The 19,310-nt window shown below is 36.6% G+C and overlaps 1 protein-coding gene across 2 annotated transcripts in view; it reads left to right on the plus strand.

Moving 5' to 3' along the window:
- The window catches only part of VRK2 (VRK serine/threonine kinase 2), a 252,329-nt gene that overhangs the window by 109,277 nt on the left and 123,742 nt on the right, over window positions 1-19,310 (plus strand). The window contains exons 2-4 of one of the 2 annotated variants that reach the window (NM_001288837.2): window positions 8,797-8,902; window positions 9,876-9,993; window positions 16,359-16,685. The gene's annotated coding sequence lies outside the window, so the exon portion shown is untranslated. The remainder of the gene's footprint in view (window positions 1-8,796; window positions 8,903-9,875; window positions 9,994-16,358; window positions 16,686-19,310) is intronic. The other variant, NM_001288838.2, reaches the window with a different exon arrangement.

Consider the following 19,310-nt stretch of genomic DNA (forward strand, 5'->3'; position numbering starts at 1 on the left):
CCTGAAACTACCAAATACTTTCATTTGACTGGCGAATTTTCTGTTTGCTCAACTTTACGGAGTCTGACATTTTGTTTAGGGGAGTTGACATGAGAACAACAAGAAATTATAGGGGTTTCCTTTTCTAACTTTTAACTCTTGTCAAAAGGGGAAAAAAAAGTTTACTTTTTTTGTACCTTTATTTTATTAAATCTGGGAGTCCCAAGTGGCTGCAGTGAGCACTACGAGAATTTCTGGGGAGCAGTCACAGGATAGAAAACCCTCCACTTTGGTAAGAGGTGTCTTTTGACACAGTTGTTGAATAGCCCAAAGTAAGCTGAGCACCTGTCCCTACCTTTCCACCTGACGTGACTAATCTCCTTGGTAACCTGTTGTGATGTTGCCCACCTCAGCCAGTTGTCCTATTAGTGAATACTATTGCACCAGTAAAAGTCATTTTATTTGCTCTCCACTGACTACTCCAGGGAGCTCAATTCCCAGCTCTGTTCAAATATTAAATTTTGGAGAGGAGGCTCAAATTCTGCTCTCTTATTCCACAGGCAAACTTCCTCCATCATAACTGCCTAATCAGAGACTAGTTATTATGGTCCCCAATTTGATCCCATCCGCGCAGATTTTGTAGGGGCAATTTTCTCCGCTGGGGCCTCTTCATGGCCTTCTTTCCTGTTATCCAACACTGCTAATGATTTCTTTTTCACTTTTCCCACTATTTGCATTTCTCTGATCAATTCCTTGGCACTTAGGGAAAGAGCGTTAAATATATGTGCTCACATTACTATCCTAAAGTGGAAAGCTCCTATTTTTCTTTTTTATGGGAGATCTTTGCTTTCCCAAAGCACTGACATTAGTATATAATGAACCCAGATTTGAAGTATGTGATTAAATATGGAATAAATCTCTTTGAAAGGGAAGTCAGTTACCTTATTTCTTATTAATGATAGTAAAGCTAGTCTCTTAGATTTGTTGTTAAATCTCTGTTAAGCAAACAAACCAGATCACATGAATTTTCTTAAGCTGATACTTGATAATTACGTGAAAATATTCGTAGTACATACTGCATCATAATAGAGACAACAAATATGTAGAAGAAATCTCACTTGAATATTAGAAAATATATTTTATTTTCTTTCTTTATTTTTTGATACAGAGTCTTGCTCTGCCACGCAGGCTGGAGTACAGTGGCACGATCTCAGCTTACTGCAGCCTCTGCCTCCCAAGGTAAAAGCGATTCTCCTGCCTCAGCCCTGCCTTGTAGCTGGGATTACAGGTGCACGCCACCAATCCTGGCTAATTTTTGTATTTTTAGTAGAGACAGGGTTTCACCACGTTGGCCAAGCTGGTCTCGAACTCTTGACCTCAGGTGATCCACCTGCCTCGGCCTCTCAAAATGCTGAGATTACAGGCATTAGCCACCATGCCTGGCTGAAAATATATTTTAAAAACCAGAAGTTTTAGAACTATTAAATTTGGTCCAGTTCTGAAATGAGAGCAATTTTTAAATTTGGTTCATCGTACCTTGTTAATTCTAAAAGTTTCAATTTTGTGAATCATGTATGTGAGTGTTTGCCCATATTTTAAAACTAAAATTCCATTTGTAGCAGAGAATTTTAGATTCTTATGTTCCTCAAATTTATATTTCAAAAGTAGTTTTAAAATTTATAAATGTAATGTTGTAATATTGAATTATACCTTCTTTAAGTTATAATACTTCTATATCTGATATCCCCTCCAGGCTAGCTAAGAATACATCTGACTCCTCTAATTCCTCTGGATAAAAATAGTGACCACTGTGGAGAAATTACATCTAAACTTTGGTGTTGTTTATTTACCTTTATAGTAGCGATACAGTATGGCTAAGAACAAAACTCTGATTTTTTTTCTTGTAATTCTCTTCTCTGTGGGCTAGGCACACCTGACCACTTCCAATTATAAGGGTATAATGACAGGTTCTCTCTATTCTGCAGGTTTGTTCCATCTGCCTGAAATGCTTCTCCTGCCCCAGGACCTCAGCACTTCCCGGTTTACACCCTCACTGCATCCACATAACCTCTGCATATACATTAGTTATGTGTCCCCTTCTCTGATAAATTTCCCTGTACCACAAAGCTTAGCTTGTATTCCCTGAATATGCTTATCAATATTACAGAACTTTTTATACAATATTTTAGATGCATTTTTAAATGCTTTTCTTAGGAGATAAATAAATTGAACTCATAGCAAGCAAGGACTAGGTCTTCCTCAAATTTGTAACTACAATGCCAAGCATAACATCCAATTCTCAAAAAATATTTGTGGAATTAACTGCTGAATAATGTGACCACGTTAAACATTAGAACAATAAGGAGAAATTTTTACGTTGCTATCACAAAGTTGGCAACACTAAGAATACAAGTAACTATTAATACTTTAAGTGTCAGGGTAGTGCCTGCTTTAAGACTAATTAATAAGTATATCCGCTTTTTTTTAGGAAATTCAGCAGTGGTCCCATACATGTAAACATTATGCAATATTAACTTTAGCATTTAGCCATGACTCATATTGATACTAGCTTTTTATAGCAAATGAGATATAGACAAGTGAGACAATTGTCTAGGTAACTGCAGTGTATGATGAGAATAGAAAGCTTTGACCTAAATGATAGTAAGTATGTAACTTGATCCATCTTTGATTTTCAAATGCTACAGAAAAATAACTAGCATTCCAGTTATTTTAGAATTATTCAGACTTCCTGGCTTCTTAGTTCTGGTGTAAACTCTCCCTTTAAACAAGTGCTTTTTAATGTTTGCAGCACATCAAAATAACCTGTGTGATATTATTCACCAAGCTGAATTTCTGTAGATGACCAGAGCATCTAACTACTTCTCAGACAGTACTAGTTTCCTATTGCTCAGAGTAAAGAGTAAATAAATACTGCTTCAAGAAATGGAGTATTGATTAGATTACACAAAATTAAAGTAGAACAACTGGATGAACTAGAAAACTATAAACTTTCAACTTTTCAAACAATTCAAACTTTTTAGAAGGCGAATACAAATACACATATGAAACAAAAAAAGCACTTTAGGAATGGATTTAAAAGGAGCATTAAAAATAAAAATAAATCTAAAACAACGTGACATAACTACGAATAAACATATTAAAACATGTAGAAGGTCTACATGGAGAAAATGTTAAAATATTACTTAGGGACATTGCTTGAAATAGTAAAACACAGAATGCTAATTAAGTGACAATTAACAGATCTGGTCAACTAAAGTATGATGCTTCCATATAATCAAGTACTACCTACCCACTGAAAACAAAAGGATAGTTTATTTCTATGATATAAAACAATTGCCAAGATAAACTGTTTTGTTTTTAGAGACAGAGTCTTGCTCTGTTGTCCCGGCCTGGAGGGCAGTGGTGTGATAACAGCTCACTGCAGCCTCTTGGCCTCAAGCAATCCTCCCACCTCAGCCTCCTACCTAACTCTGACTACAGGTGTGTACCACCATGTCTGGCTAATTTTTTAATATTTTTAGAGACAGAGTCTCAATATGTTTTGAAGGCTGGTCTTGAACTCCTGGCCTCAAGCAGTCTTCCTGCCTCAGCCTCCCAAGTCACTGGGATTACAGGTGCAAAGCACCATGCCCTGCTAAGATATACTGTTAAGTGCCAAATGAAGGTTATTGTGCCAAGTATGCTACTATTTGTGTTAAAAGCAGAAAAATACATGTTCTATGTAAGTGTATGTACATAAACATTTGCATGTATTATATGCTTAAATATGAATGTCTCCAGACAGGCTCATAAGAAATTGTGGATGCTTCTGGGAAACAGAGCTGGCATGAGACACTTTCCATTGTATAACTTTTTGTACAACTGAACATTTTTTAAAGTGCACATATTATCTTTTTCTAAAATAATAAAGTAAAATCTCCAAGTTAATTCTGATACCTGGAACTAAAAGCCATTGGTCCAGTATAAAACATTTGGACCTTGATAAATCCACTGCATAGTATAGCACATGTTCTTAACCTTTATTGTGCCATAGACCCCTTTGATAGTCTAGGAGAGTGTTTGGACCCATTCTCTATAAGTTTTTGATGTTTTAAAAATGGATAAAACTAAAAATATACAATTATAAAAGAAACAAAGTATGTTAAAATTGGTTTTTAAATATTAGACCTGGCAGTAGGTCTAATATCAGCCAGACTTTTGTAATACTGATGAATATGAATGATATTTTGGAAGAGCTAAACAGCTCTATTGTGATATGAAAACATCTTCAACTACTTTTTGTGGGAAAAAATCACACATAATGCTAATCCTAATGATTTGCTATATAATTACAGGAAATGCTAAATTCCAGTACAAATGAGTGAAAAATTAAAATGTGATTTTTTTTTCCCTCCTTTCCAAGCTCACAGATTGTTCCTAACATCTAACCAGGGACCCACTGAGTGTGTATGGACTCCAAATTAAGCACTCTGTATAAGAATGCACTGGGCTTACATCCCTTCATATCCAAAATAAAAAATGTAATACAGACCTTTATCATAGAGGTTTCAAATTAGTATTAAAACATTACTTTAGAATTTTTCTTAATCCCAATTTATACGTATGCTTGGACTAAATATTTATTGTCTCCAAGATACTGCAGACAACAAATTAGCCAAAAATACTATGACCGTTTATCTGGGTTTATACTACCATGAAATAAAAATATATCTAATCACTCAGTGAATCCCTTCCATATAGACATCTGTTAATATTAATTCTATCTTTTCTTTGTAATAGAACTTTCCCTCTTTTCCCCACCCCACCCCCAAATCAGTGGATTGAATTTTCAGCATTTTCTTTATTTTTCTGTTATGCAAAGGACTCAGCCAGTAGCATCCCCCATACCTTTCCACATTATCACAATTGGCTACCGAAACCTACATCTTCATTCCATTTTATATAGTATTAACTTTGTAAGCCTGGAAAATATGATTGAAAGAAATTGTTCAAGTTCCAATGTCCCTGACTTTTAAACACTGTTTCTTCCTTTTGTCTCAACCATCAAAAGTGTTAATACTTCATACCCTGTTTAGGTTGTAAAATGTCCACTTGAAACCCTTAATCAGTCAGAACGTTGGTAAATTATACCTTCATGCTATCCATATTGAGTACCCATTACTCCTGGACATAGCACATTAACTGACTCATTAGCTATTTCAAACCATATGGACTTGGGTTTGGGTGGGTCATTTTGATAATATCCTGAGGTGAGTTTCCTAATTATTGCAATTATGTGATCTCAATCATGAGGTCAGGCTCACAAAATAGTGTCAGTGCCTTTAGAATGGGTGTCACTGCACCCAGACAATGACTGAGATGAGCAACATGCTCTTTGGTTGTTATAAGTCCCTTGATACTAAAGAAAGTAATTACTTGAAAAGTTCTGTGAAACCGCCAGGAACAGCCTGTGAATTGAGTGAGCATGGAATGCTATAATGCTTGACAGTCATGGATACATTGCCTAGAGTTCACAGTGGGAAAATGTGAATGCCACAGTGCTGATGCTACGTAGACATTATGTTTCTAATGTAAATTTTGTATAGTGTTTTAAGCAACAAGGCAGATTTTGTAAAAGTTGAGGGGAGTAGGAAAAGAGCAAATGTAGGAAAAGAGTATGTTGTCATTGAGAAATTCTGTGATGGTGTCACAAAACGAATATGAGAGGTAAGAAATTCATATACTGTGCTGCCCACGATGGCTCACGCCTGCAACCCCAGCACTTTGGGAGGCCGAGGTGGGCAGATCACTTGAGCAGAGGAGTTTGAGACCAGCCCAGGCAACATGGCTAAACTTCATCTCTATAAAAATACAAAAATTAGCTAAGCATGGTGGCCCTTGCCTGTAGTCCCAGCTACTCAGGAGGCTGAGACTGAGGGATTGCTTGAACCCAGGAGGCAGAGGTTGCAGTGAGCCAAGATCACACCACTGCACTTCTGCCTGGGCAACAGAGCAAGACCCTGACTCAAAAAAGAAAAAAATATGAGGAAGTTTACGTACTGGAAGGTAGGATAGATATCAAGAGATATTTTTAAATAATTACAGAGGTTGTTTTACTATGGTAAAATATACATAACATAAAAGTTAGCATTTTAACCATTTCAAAAGAGTATAGTTTTGTGGCATTATGCACATTCACATTGTTCTGCAACATCACCACCAACCATCTCGAGACCTTTTTCATCTTCCCAGACTGAAACTCTGTAGCCATTAAAGAATAACTCCACATATCCCTTCCTCACATACTCTGGCAACTACCAACCTCCTTTCTGTGTGTATGAATTTGACTACTTTAGGCACGTCAAATAAGTTGAATCATACCGTATCTGTCCTTTTGTGACTGGCTTATGTCACTTAGCATGTCTTCAATGTTCATCCCTGTTGTAGTACGTATCAGAATTTTCTTCCAAGACTGAGTGATATTCCATTGTGTGTATATGTGTGTGTTTGTATGTGTGCATATAACAAAATTTCTATATACATACACACTACATTTTGTTTCTCCATTCAATTGTCAATGGACCCTTTGGTTGCTTCTTGGCTTTTGTGAGTAATGTTGCTATGAACATCCGTATATATGTATATATATATCTGTACAAATCTCTGCCTTCAAATCTGAAAGGTTATCTTTGAAGGAAAAAAATAGTAAATGTATTTTTTGAAAGCCTACCCTCTGCCTAAAAATTGCTAACAAATTAAAATAAAATGTCTGCAATTAAAATGATCATCAATTTGAAAGTGAAATCAAGGAAATCCCCAAAGCTTACCATTTCCTTTGATGTTTCTGTCTTCGTCTTTAGATAGCAGTCAAAGATACACATTAGAAATCAAAGATTTCTGTTTCTAGGCCTTTAAGATATGTATGAAAAAATTAGTATAATCAGAGCTGCTAAGATGGGTCAGCTGGAAACAGCACCTGAACATCATTAAAGAATCAATATAGAAGCTTTGGAGAGGAGTGGTCATGCTCACTACCAAACTATCTAAATATAGAGATTTACTAAAAAAAGGAAAGAAGTTTGTAATCACACAATTGAGTATTAATGATGAACAATAACTAGTTGGTAAGAATTTTTTTTTTTTTTTTTTGAGACGGAGTCTCACTCTGTAGCCCAGGCTGGAGTGCAGTGACGCTGTCTCAGCTCATGGCTCACTGCCAGCTCCGCCTCCCGGGTTCACGTCATTCTCCTGTCTCAGCCTCCCTCCCAAGTAGCTGGGACTACAGGCGCCGGCCACCAAATCCTGTCTCTACTAAAAGTACAAAAAATATTTTTGACTCCCAGGAAAAGTACAAAGATGAGGAGAGAGGAGAGCAGTCCTGAAATAAACATGTATTTAGGCTGAAATTATAGTTTCTGTGAATCGGCCTTAGGTTTCACAACCACAATTTACACTTGTAAATAGGTTGAGGGTTCAGTGGCAAATATTTCCAATTTAGAGGTAGATATGACAGGATTAGAAAATAAATAAATAAGGAATTAATAGAAGTTTTTTTGGGGGGGTGCTATTACATTAAAATAATTAAACTACTTAAGTGAGTAAAACCTCAATTAGTAGTGGAACTCTAAATTCAGTTAATTTGTAATAGTTAACAGCAGTTCATTGAGAAGAAACTCCCACTGGCTTTAACAATACTGTTTATTTTTGGTGGAAAAGAGAATTGTGGCCTTCCTGATATTTTATTTTGGAATTGTTTGTCCTAAAATTGGGCCTATCCAACTTTATTTCTAGCCAGCCTATCCACAGATCCATTTAGAGCAAATCTGTTACCTCCCATGTAAGGGCCAAAACCTCTTAAGACATTTTATTTCAAAGTTTTGATGCTATCATAAAGAATCGACTCCTACAATACTAAGCTCTTAAGATGTCACATCATATTTAAGTAATAATGCATGCTGAAGATGCTAAATTTAATTGGTTAGTGTGAGAGCAATTTTATGAGAAGAATCCATCATTTTGGGGGCTAAACATTATCAAAAGAAATTCAAATATAAAGGAAAAAACCTTTACCAGAAACCAAATGTAAATATGGATGACAGATATTGCTTTTACACATGGGGGTTAATTTGTAGAATAAAGAGAGAATGGCTATGTGATAAGGCTTCTCTTGTGGGCAAAGTACGCTTCATATGGTCATTCTTTAGTTGAGCCATCCTTGTCCTTAATCCCATGTTGCACTGAACACCATATGCAGTTTAGTAGAGTGGCTAATAGCACAGATTCTATAGTTAAACTTCCTAGGTTCAAATCCTGTCTCTGCTTATTCCAAGATATGTGACCTTAGGCAGATAACTAAACTGCTCAGATCCTCAGGCTGATTCACTGTAAAATAGGCACAAGAAAAGGCATTGCTCATATTTTTTTTTTTTTTAACTATTAGTTAATATCTATAAAGCAATTAGAACTGGGCCTGCCATATACTGATAGCTCATTATGTGGTAAGCCATTACTATTGCTATGACTGAGAAAGTCGTTTCCTTCTTCTTTTTGGCTTCTTAAGAAGAATTCAAAGGCCAATTTTGGAGAAATCCCTAAGTAAACAGCCAGACAAAGGAAGAGAATCATAGGCTAGTTTTCATTTTAATCAAAATGTCTGCTATATTTTAATCATTTTAAGTTAAATGTCTTTTATCTACCTTATGTTTGTTGCTCAAGGTTATTTTATAAATTTTGCTCATTCATAAGCCACAAATTATCTTATTGTCTGACTTAGTTCTGACAGAGAACCAAGAAATGTGGCCTGAACTTATTTTTCAGAAATGGAATGAATCCCCAAGATGGCTTAAGGATGCCCTTCTGTTTTGGAATGCTTTCTCTTGGTGTATATCAAGGTTGGTTCAGTTTACCAGAGAAAAGATGCCAGGTGGGTGGCCTTTATAGAAAAGGTAAGCTTCTGCTAAGGACACTCAAAACCTTTTGCTTGACCTTTGCAGATTACCGACTCCTGTTTAGCCTTTCTCAGTAGTGCTTCCTTTATCTAACTTTTGCTCCCATACTCCTAGTTTCTTTTCATCTAATTTATAAGGTGTACAAAGCTATTCATCAATATATAATGGTCTCTGTGATTTCAGTACAGATGACTACTCCTTATGCATTAAATAATGTTCTATAAAACTATGTGTTAATGAAATGAAATGTGACTCTACTGGGGGATTTTAATACTTCAACTATTCCAAGTCTTCCCTCTTTCAATGTACTCTGTCTCACATTGTACTCTGTCTCACTTGTTCCATTGCATAATGGAGATGTACAAAGTGAAAATTGCCTAGCACATTGTCCCTTCTAAGAGAATAATAGAAAATCTTTGAATTGCTGAGCTTATTGGAATGTCTGTTACCTAAGAACAAGTGTTGCCAGTGAGACTAATTGTGTGTGTGTGCGCGCGCACACACACATGTGCACATGTGTGAGAAAGAGAAAGTGAGGGAATGAGAGAGGGAGACAATGCAGTATCTAGTTTATGTAAATAATTTCTATAGCATGAGAACATCCTATATGTTTAACTAAGAAAAGTTAATATGACTCCTGACAACTACATATACACAATTACTCTTTCTATGAATATGCAATTATGAAAAATAAGCAGGTTCCCAAATAATGTGGAATTCTTAGATGAAGCGTGTCAGTATTGGCACGTGTAGCATTTTAAAAGAGTATGGTTCTGTTTTATTTTTAGAATGTATTGACCTTAATGGAATAAAGTACCATTTAATAACCTTATTTTTCTCATAGGCTGGCATCGAAAGGGAAATCTTTCTTTGTTTACTGCTGAAGGAATATGAATCTATAAACTTTAGCAGTTTTTTTGTTTATTCGTTTTTGTTTTTTTGAGACAGGGTCTCATTCTGTCACCCAAGCTGGAGTCCAGTGACATGGTCACAGCTCACTGAAGCCTCAACCTCCTTGGCTCAAGCAATCCTTTCACCTCAGCCTTCTAAGTAGCTAGGAGCACAGGTATGCACACACAGCTTTTTTTCTTTTCTTTTTTTTTTTTGTTTGTTTGTAGAGATGGGATCTCACTTTGTTGCCTAGGCTAGTGTTAAACTCCTGGGCTCACGTGATTGACCTCCCAAAGTGCTGGGATTACAGGCTTGAGCCACCATGCCCAGCCAACTTTAACAGTTTTTAGCCAAGCCATGGCTAACTAAAGAGTAATTTTAAACTTTTATTTAAATAAAGTAATAATAAGTTGAGTAGTAGTAGTGTTTTGTTCAAACTAAGGGTGCCCTTCTCTGTTTAACCATCTCCCTTCCTAATAATCTAGTGTTCCATCCCATAGTACTCCAAAATTAAAGGCATCAATCCAGATTACCCAGTGACTCAGCAAAATGAGAAAAAATCTCACTGGAGTCCAGTGAGAATCCAGGGACTAAATGCCTTGCCATCCAACCCTATGGTCATATGCAAGTTTCCACAGGTATTCAAATTATATCCAGGGAAAAGGATCAGGGGTGGATAGTGGTAAGAAGACTTCTATGGAGTAGAAAAACAGCCCTGATTGATAGTATAACCTCTAAATTGAATGAATATATACCTATAGGAGCCTTTTAAACAGCAGAAAGCAGGATTTTCCCTACTTAACAAATATATGATTTTGTTGGTTCTCATGTTAGCAGTAGTAATGGAGGGCAGTGGTGAAAAGGGTTGGAAAGGGCTTGGTGGATTGGTGGAAAGGGGGACTGCAGAGTTTAAAAAGTCAATTATAAAGTTAGTCAACTATATAAATTAAAATTACTTTTTTGTACTTCTGAGTCAACGTATGTAACTATTGGCCCCTATAAAGATAGAAATAATGACATAACTTTATTACAAGTGTTTCAAACTAGAAAAATAATACCAGCTCCATCTATAAGATTTATAGAAGTATAAGTGTCCAGCATGGGAGGCCAAAGAGAATAATAGGAATGGTGACAGTAATAAAGGGGGAACAAAGTCCATCCCAAACAGAAATTTAAATTTCCATGAATATAGCCAAAATTTTTAAAGAGAGATCTTAAGAAGAGGAATTGAATGTGGATAAACAACATAGTTTTAGAAAAATGTGACCAACACTACAGTGTTTAACTGTCTGGTGAAGGAGAAAGACCACAGCCTAGGCTTTCAAGTGAAGAAGTGCCTAGTAAGAAAGACAGTGACAATCTGTTATAAAATAGACTCAAACAATCCCTTAATCTAGGTCTTTAATCTAGATGGAAAATGTCTGAATACTGCACCTGGACTCGCCAGCTATTTTTAGGATAGAGCGCAAGGAAAACTGTTTTTATCTTGGGACTTGTATTGATCCTGATTTAATGGTTTGTACTCCAGGGCTCCCAGAAAGAGGTGACACTTAAGAGTGACAAGAGGTAACATAATTTCCTGGTCTTATCTATAGTTTCTATTTACTACAGCTCTACATCAAGGGTCAGGAATATAAAGAAGAGAAGTGGCCATTTTCTTAATCCAGTCTATCATTGTTGGACATTTGGGTTGGTTCCAAGTCTTTGCTATTGTGAGTAGTGCTGCAATAAACATATGTGTGCATGTGTCTTTATAGCACCATGATTTATATTCCTTTGGGTATATACCCAGTAATGGGATGGCTGGGTCAAATGGTATTTCTAGTTCTAGATTCCTGAGGAATCACCACACTGTAATACTATGCAGCCATAAAAAATGATGAGTTCATGTTCTTTGTAGGGACATGGATGAAGCTGGAAACCACCATTCTCAGCAAACTATCGCAAGGACAAAAAACCAAACACTGCATGTTCTCACTCATAGGTGGGAACTGAACAATGAGAACACTTGGACACAGGAAGGGGTACATCACACACCGGGGCCTGTTGTGGGGTTGGGGGAGTGGGGAGGGATAGCATTACGAGATATACCTAATGTAAATAATGAGTTAATGGGTGCAGCACACCAACATGGCACATGTATACATATGTAACAAACCTGCACATTGTGCACATGTACCCTAGAACTTAAAGTATAATAAATAAATAAATAAATAAATATATATATATATATATATATATATATATATATATATATTTAGAAGAGAAGTGGTTTCTTAGGAAGAATAAGCCAATAGAATAATTCCTAGATTCTTAAAACTTCTGACAGTTATATTAAAACACTTAACAATTTGATCTCTCTAGAAAAATACCTTTAGACATTCTGGAAGATGAGAGGTCTAACTGCAGTTCAGTTATTCAATAATTCCTAAAAAGCCAGGTGAGGTGTCTATTTGATAAATTTCTTGAAAAGCCTAAAGAGTTCTATGAAAACTGATTAGCTATTTTCTATTTGTATTATGAATGAAATAGAGAGGAAAAAATAATAGATAAATCTCCAGGCATGAAGGATCAACATAATTTGCATCTCCAATTTTCTTCTACCTTCACCATCTTTTTCCTATTTGGCCTACTTCCACCATTCTTTTCTGTCTTAAACCAGTGTCCTCATGTCTACCACTGGACTTAAATTCTTAAAGGGCTCTGATTTTCCTCCTAACACTGCTTAGATGGTACCATCTTGCTTTGTGTCAACTCAGGTAGAAACAAGGTTTGACTTTTACAAAAGAAACTTTCACTAACATTTAAAGAAAAAGTTAAAAGTACTCCTATATTGACCAAACTCTTGACCGGAAGATAGCAGTATGACTAGCATAACTTGTGAGATCTCTCTGTCTTCTTTTCTTAGCCACAATCATCTCTTATGACCAGATTAAATTATTCCAATTGCTACATTGAGGCAGACATAGACTCCCTCCCCTGTCATATTGAGGTTGGTATGATTTGGGGGGTTTATTCTGTTTTTATATCAGAATGTCTTTGCCAGCTCTGGGGTCTAATGAGCTTCTGGTCTACATTTATCTTTGACTCATCCTACATTACCTTGAGTATCTAGATGAAGAAGGCACATTTCCATCTGAAAGAAACATCTAACACAGCACTTATCATTGTCATTTGCCCTTTCTGAATATTACTGAACTCTAGAGTTATTGGCATGCCATATTTTCCTGGAGTTTGAATTTGTCTGGTCCAGTCTAAAGAATCTTCAGAGGCTAGTTATTTAAATTAATTGCTACCAGCAATACTTTACTTTTCATCTACGTTAGCAACTCAGTTTAGCCTCAGAGTCAGTTTTTTGGTAGGTGGTCTCAGGCATGATGCCTGTCCTTATCCTCAATGGCTATAAGACCTCTCCCATTATAAAGCCGTTGCTGTATTTTAGATTGTCTGAGGCCTCCTTTAGCTCTCATCAGCTTGATACCAAGGTTTTGCTCAATTAATATGCACACATATTGCTGCTTTTTCCTCAGATCTAATAAGTTTAACTTAAAACACTTAGCAATTTCACACCTAAATAATCATTTTAAATAATCTAAATGTCTTAGGTGTTTCATTTATTCATCTTTGTTTTAAATATCATTTTTAAATGTCCTGAATGGTACTGCCTAGATTTTCTTCTAGGGTTTTCATAGTTTGGGGTTTTACATGTAAGTCTCTAATACTTTGCTGTATAGACTTTAATTCCTTCTCTTTCATTTAAATAATCTAAAATGTCTTTAATGCACTCTACCTCGTTTCCTCTCACAATCTTGCCATCATCCTAAGCTTTGGCTTGGGCAAAAAAATATCATATTTTCTTGTTTGGCCAGGTTGTATTTGAAATGCCTGTTAGACCCCAGTAGAAATATCAAGCAGGAAAGCAAATATACTAGCTTGAAATTCACTGGATTGGTCAAAACTTGTGTGGCAGATTGTACTTTTCATAATACCCAGAGGTGGGTCTACCTCTCTTCTTAAGTCTGGGTGGGCTTGTTAGTTGCTTGTGATTACAAGCAAGTAATAGCATGGGGTTGAAAGTGATGCATATGACTTTCAATTGCATGGAGTTGAAAGTGATGCATATGACTTCTGAGGCTGGTAAGAAGAGGCAATGCAACTTCTGTCGTGTTCTTTGGAACACTCATGCTTTATGCCCTGAGATACCATGTAAGAAGTGCCAGCACTCTGAAGCTGACATGCTGTGAGGAAGCCAAGCTATGCTCATCAGTCTGGCTTAGAGTCCAAACATGTGACTGATCAAACATTTAGATGATTCCAGCTCCTAGGCTGTGAGTCACTCCCAGCATGCACACCTTCTCAAAGAGTTAAGCCATTTTCCCTGTGCCCTTTTCAAGCTCCTGACCCACAGAATATGTGAGTATGATAACATACTTGTTACTTTATGCTGCTAAGTTTGCAGTGGTATGTCACAAATAAATGGTAAGTGACTATCTTTCATCACACCTTTCATTTCAGTGAAAGTTGGCCAGTGTCTGCACTGTGGGTACCAACTGAGCAAAAGCAGATTAAGCAAAGTAGACTTAGAAGGAATAGCGAGTGGGCCAGAAGGAGCACTAGGAGAATGTGGTGTTATGAAAATCAGAAGAAGAGAGGCTTTGTTCCCGTGTCCCCTATCCCCTCAGGATAGTATAGGATGTCCTGAGCTTGGGAGGGATATATTTTTTAGTGGTAAGAAGACTAAGAGTATGACTGTTAATCTCCTCCTTTCCCTCAAGGATAGGCTTCAGTAAGGGCAGAGAAAAATAAACCACTGAAGTTGAGAGTTAAAATAAAGAAAACATTCAAGTACACTTTAAAATGATATTTACAATGATTATGTAGACATCAGATCATTACCACCACCAGTGTCCAGCAGATGTAATTTCCCTAATTAATTTACAATCCAAATGATAGCTTATATCTTTCCCATTCTCTGAAAATCTAGGTAAAACTGACTCAAAACTTCTTCCTAAAATTTTCTGGACTTTCAGAGGCTTTTGTTCTCATAGCTACCTCTGGATTGCTGCTTTTTCATGTGCTATCTCTGATTTGAATCATATCTGCTCAGATGTGGAACACGGACTTTTCAATTTACACATTCACTCATACAAACGAAAAAAATGGAAGGAAGGTAGAAGAGGAATTGAAATTATAACAATCCAAACAACTTTGAGTAGAACAGTAGACACTATCATTCTTAACAGATTCTTTGTCCATCACACAATCAGTGTCTTACAATGACCTTTCACCCTACACAACTTCAAATCATCTCTCTGGTTGATCTGTCTTCTCTTTCTGTCTTCCTTCCTATTCACTCACTCTTAGAAAACTCAATCAAATCCAAATTATTTCTTACTTCTACATAGAAATTTTTCTTTCAAGGGGTTCAGGAAACAAAAATCTCTTCCATAGGAGTTGTTGTGGTTATGAACAGACAGAAAAGAAGCTATGTGCTTACTTTTTACTCATACTTAATGTTTTTTTCCCTAGGTTTTAGTTGATCTAAGTGTCCCGGTATGTTGTCTTAGTCAGCTCAGGCTGCTATAACAAAATACCATAGACTGGGTAGCTTTATAAACAAAAGATTTATTTCTCAAATGTATTCAGTTCTGGAGGGTGAGAACTCCAAGATCAAGACACTGGAAGATTCATTGTCTAGTGAGGATCCACTGACAGGTTCATAAAATAGCATGTGTCCTTCCGTGGCAGAAAAGGGAAGTGAGCCCTCTGTGTTCCCTTTTGTAGGGGCACTAACCCTGCTCCACCCTTATGATCTGATCATCTTCCAAAGGTCCCACCTGCAAATACTGCAGTTCTCTGGGTGGCCTTGGACTGACGCAGTTCTCCATCCTTTCTCAATTGTACCTCTCAAGAATTAAGTGTAGAATGTGCTGGCAATGCAAAATCTTGAGATAAAGGGGTGCTAGCTGGGACAGCCTAGGCTTTGTTCCAGTCTCCCTTAGGATAGGATAGAATGTCCTTCAGTGCTTTAGCTCAGCATCTCATGTGACATCACAGTATGAAACACAGGACTGGCTGCTTTTTGCAGTCTCTCTGCTAATGTGCAAGTGGGACATGCATAGTTGAGATTCTATGCACCCCAGCCAGCTTTCCTGAGCCTTGGGAAACTGGCTCACCATGAATCCTAGCTTCTGCTATCTCTTGCTGCCTATCTGTAAGTAGCAAATCTGCTTCACGTAATTTGTTGTGTGTGGGTGTTCTGTCTCACAAGACTCAGATAAGTTGGTAGCCAGTGCACACTGAACCTGCTTCACAAATACCATCACATATCATCACATTGGGTGTTAGGATTTAACATATGAATTTTGGGGGGACACAGACACTCAGTCTATAGCATATGTGTTCTGACATTTATGTATTTGAAAATATCTCTATGTTTGCTTTTATGCATAAGGATAACTTGACTGTGTTTTGAATTTTTAAGCACCATCATTTTGTTTACAACTCTGTGGTTGACACTCCTTTCTTTCTCTCATTTAGTGTCATAAAGAAGAATATTTGAAGCTCTATAAATATGTTGCTTTACGTGGCAAAAAGGACTTTACAGATCTGAGTACACTGGATTATCTGGGTGGGCACAATGTAATCACAAGGGGCTTTCTAAGAAGGAAGAAGGAGGGTTCAAGGCAGAAAAACCGGAAGAAGTTATAACATTGGCTTTGAAGATGGAAGATGGGGACACAAGTCAAGGAATTCAGGTGGCCTCTAGAAGCCTGAAAAGTCAAAGAAATGAATTCTCCCCTAGAGCCTCAAGAAGGAACACAGCCCTGCTGACAGCTTGATTTTAGGATTTCTGACCTCCAGACTGTAAGAGAATTAATTTATATCATATAAGTCACTAAGTTTGTGGTAATTTGTTAATCAACAATAGTAAATTAATACAGACTACCTTTAGTTTCATAAGTAAAAATATCCTCTTTAATTGTTATTTACATTTATATGAATCAAAATTTTCCTAGAAGGATTTTCTGCTTATCACAGCAAATTTATTTTTAAAAGAAGGCAGGTTTGATTCTTCAAAGAAGCTATGTAGTCTAAACTATAGGATCTTTCCTGAAATCTGGTAATTTTCCCCAGTTTGGTCATCCACAGAGAGCCATCTGTGCTTTCCCTGTCTTGTTTTATGGCCAAAAAGAAATGGGCATGGTTTCTGTTAATCTGATACAATTTCCTACTAGAATATATCTTGTCTAGATCAACTCTTTCCTTTGTCATAGAAATAAAATAACTCAAGCTCCCATGCAATGTAAGTACGGATAATCCAGTTGCTTCCCAAATAATTTCTGAGGATCCTAGGTAGGTGCTTACAAATGTTAGTAACTACTTGCCACCTCTCACTATGAATCATTCTCTTCTTAGTAGCTAGTCTTAATATATAGATAATACCATGTTATTTTCTTATTTAAGGAAGAGTGGGTTGCTCATTTTACTTAGGAAAAAGTCAAAAATACTTAAACTCACAAATTTCAGTATGGTCTGTTCTTTGCCTACCTTTCAGAATCGTTTTCTGCTAACACCTCTCACAGTTGTTGTTTTGGGGCCTTAGCAAATTTCTTCCCACCTCAGGACCTTTGCATATGTCCTTTTCTCCATGAAATGTTCTTTCTTTCCCAGTTTGCCCGCTACCGATTCCTCATCTTTCAGGTCTTATTTCAAGGGTTACTCCCTCAAAGTGTTGCTCCCATGATCCTGCCTGACTACTGAAATCAGCTCCTCCTATTATGGCTCCTAATAGAATCCTATAGTTTTTCTCAGTGATTATTTAACAACTGTTCCTTCTACAAGGCTCTAAGTTTTAAGAAGGCAGGGATGGTTTGTTTTATTACATTCTCCCTCTTCAGTCAAGCTCAAAGAATATATGAGTGAGTGAATGAATCTGAATTGCTGTTTCTGGCCATTCCATCTTACCCTCTGTTCCATTCCATCAACTTATCTTGGCCTTAGGGCATGAGAGCATCTCTCATCTTTGTTCTTCATTCCTCAAGGCAGTGCTAAAGGAAGGCTGACACCAGGTTCCAGAGGTTTTTTTTAAAAAACAAAAAACAAAAAAAAAAACTTCACTTATTCCTTCAAAATATTTATTGAACATCTGTACACTAGGTACTATTCTAAACGCTTGGTGGTTCACTCTTGGATTCAGTGGTGCCAGGTCATTGCCCCATGAGGACTTGCAAACATATGATATAGTCCAAACGTTTTAGTCAACATAAATGAGGCTGTGCTCCTGATGACATGATGCCTGAGATTTATCTTTAGCCCTAATACCTCCAAATCTCAAGGTGTGTTGGTATTAATTGGTTAGTATGTTCTCTACTGTATTATGGGTACATTGCTTTCCTAGAAGAGGATGTTTGACATGGGTACTCCATGCCTTCCAACAGTATAATCCTATCTGTATTACTTTTAACAGAAATGCCCCCAAAGTTTCCTGCATATGGCCAGTATTCATCTTTCCTTTCTGTTGCTACCATAGAATTATTTTCCTCTTTCCCCCTTAAAAATATTATATTGGACATTTCAATGGGAATTTGGGAGCAGGGAGATAAAAACCTGCTCTTATCATTACATTACCCAGAAGTTTTCAGAGATTTCTTCATCAGTCTATGGTCTCCTTACTCTCTGTTTCGCCTTTTATCTATTTATTAGTTTATTTTTGTTATGAGTTGGAACTGGATTCCAGGAAAGTATTATGTACATTAAAAACTCAAGAGTATCTATGTAGCATGAATTATTCTGTAACAGATTGTCCAGATAGTTTCAGAGGAACATTTCATGACTCGAGTAACATTTGCATTTCATAGTTGATTGAGTAGCCTTATGAAATGAATCAGCACTGTCATAAATACTTCGCACTATTGACTCACTCCAATATATTGACATTTGAATGTTCATTACCCTTATCCAATCAATTCAACATTGCTAACTTTACTTCTAGGGCAGAAGATTTTTGTAGCCTTCTTCTATATAATTTGGAAGGAGAGAAGAGACAAAGCTCCATGATGTATGAAAGGGCAGTAGAATCATTCTATTTTATAAGTGAATTGAAGTGGCATCAGATGAGACCCAACCACGTTATGTGTGAAAATATGAAATAGGAAAATGGGGATAATATTTGGGTATAAAATGAGATTACTATGTAAAAAACACTGTCCTCAAAATAGAGTTGTTCTTTTGAACTATATAAATGGGGAATTATCTTAGAAGACAGAACTTCCGTTACTAGTTATGGTTGTTATCCATTAGAAAGACTTCTTAAGAGTGGCTTATAAGCATCCTCTTAAACATCCTTGAAAAACAGTAATTTTTTTTCTTATATGTCTGAGATAGCTAAATAAAGCGTGGTCTTTTCAGAACTGAGATCAACATAATATACCATTAATTTTATCTAATTGCTTATTGAAGTGGTCCCAATTGTATGACACTTTTTTCTCA

This window comes from Homo sapiens, chromosome 2 (genome assembly GCF_000001405.40).
Source record: "Homo sapiens chromosome 2, GRCh38.p14 Primary Assembly".
In the NCBI taxonomy this organism is placed as follows: domain Eukaryota; kingdom Metazoa; phylum Chordata; class Mammalia; order Primates; family Hominidae; genus Homo; species Homo sapiens.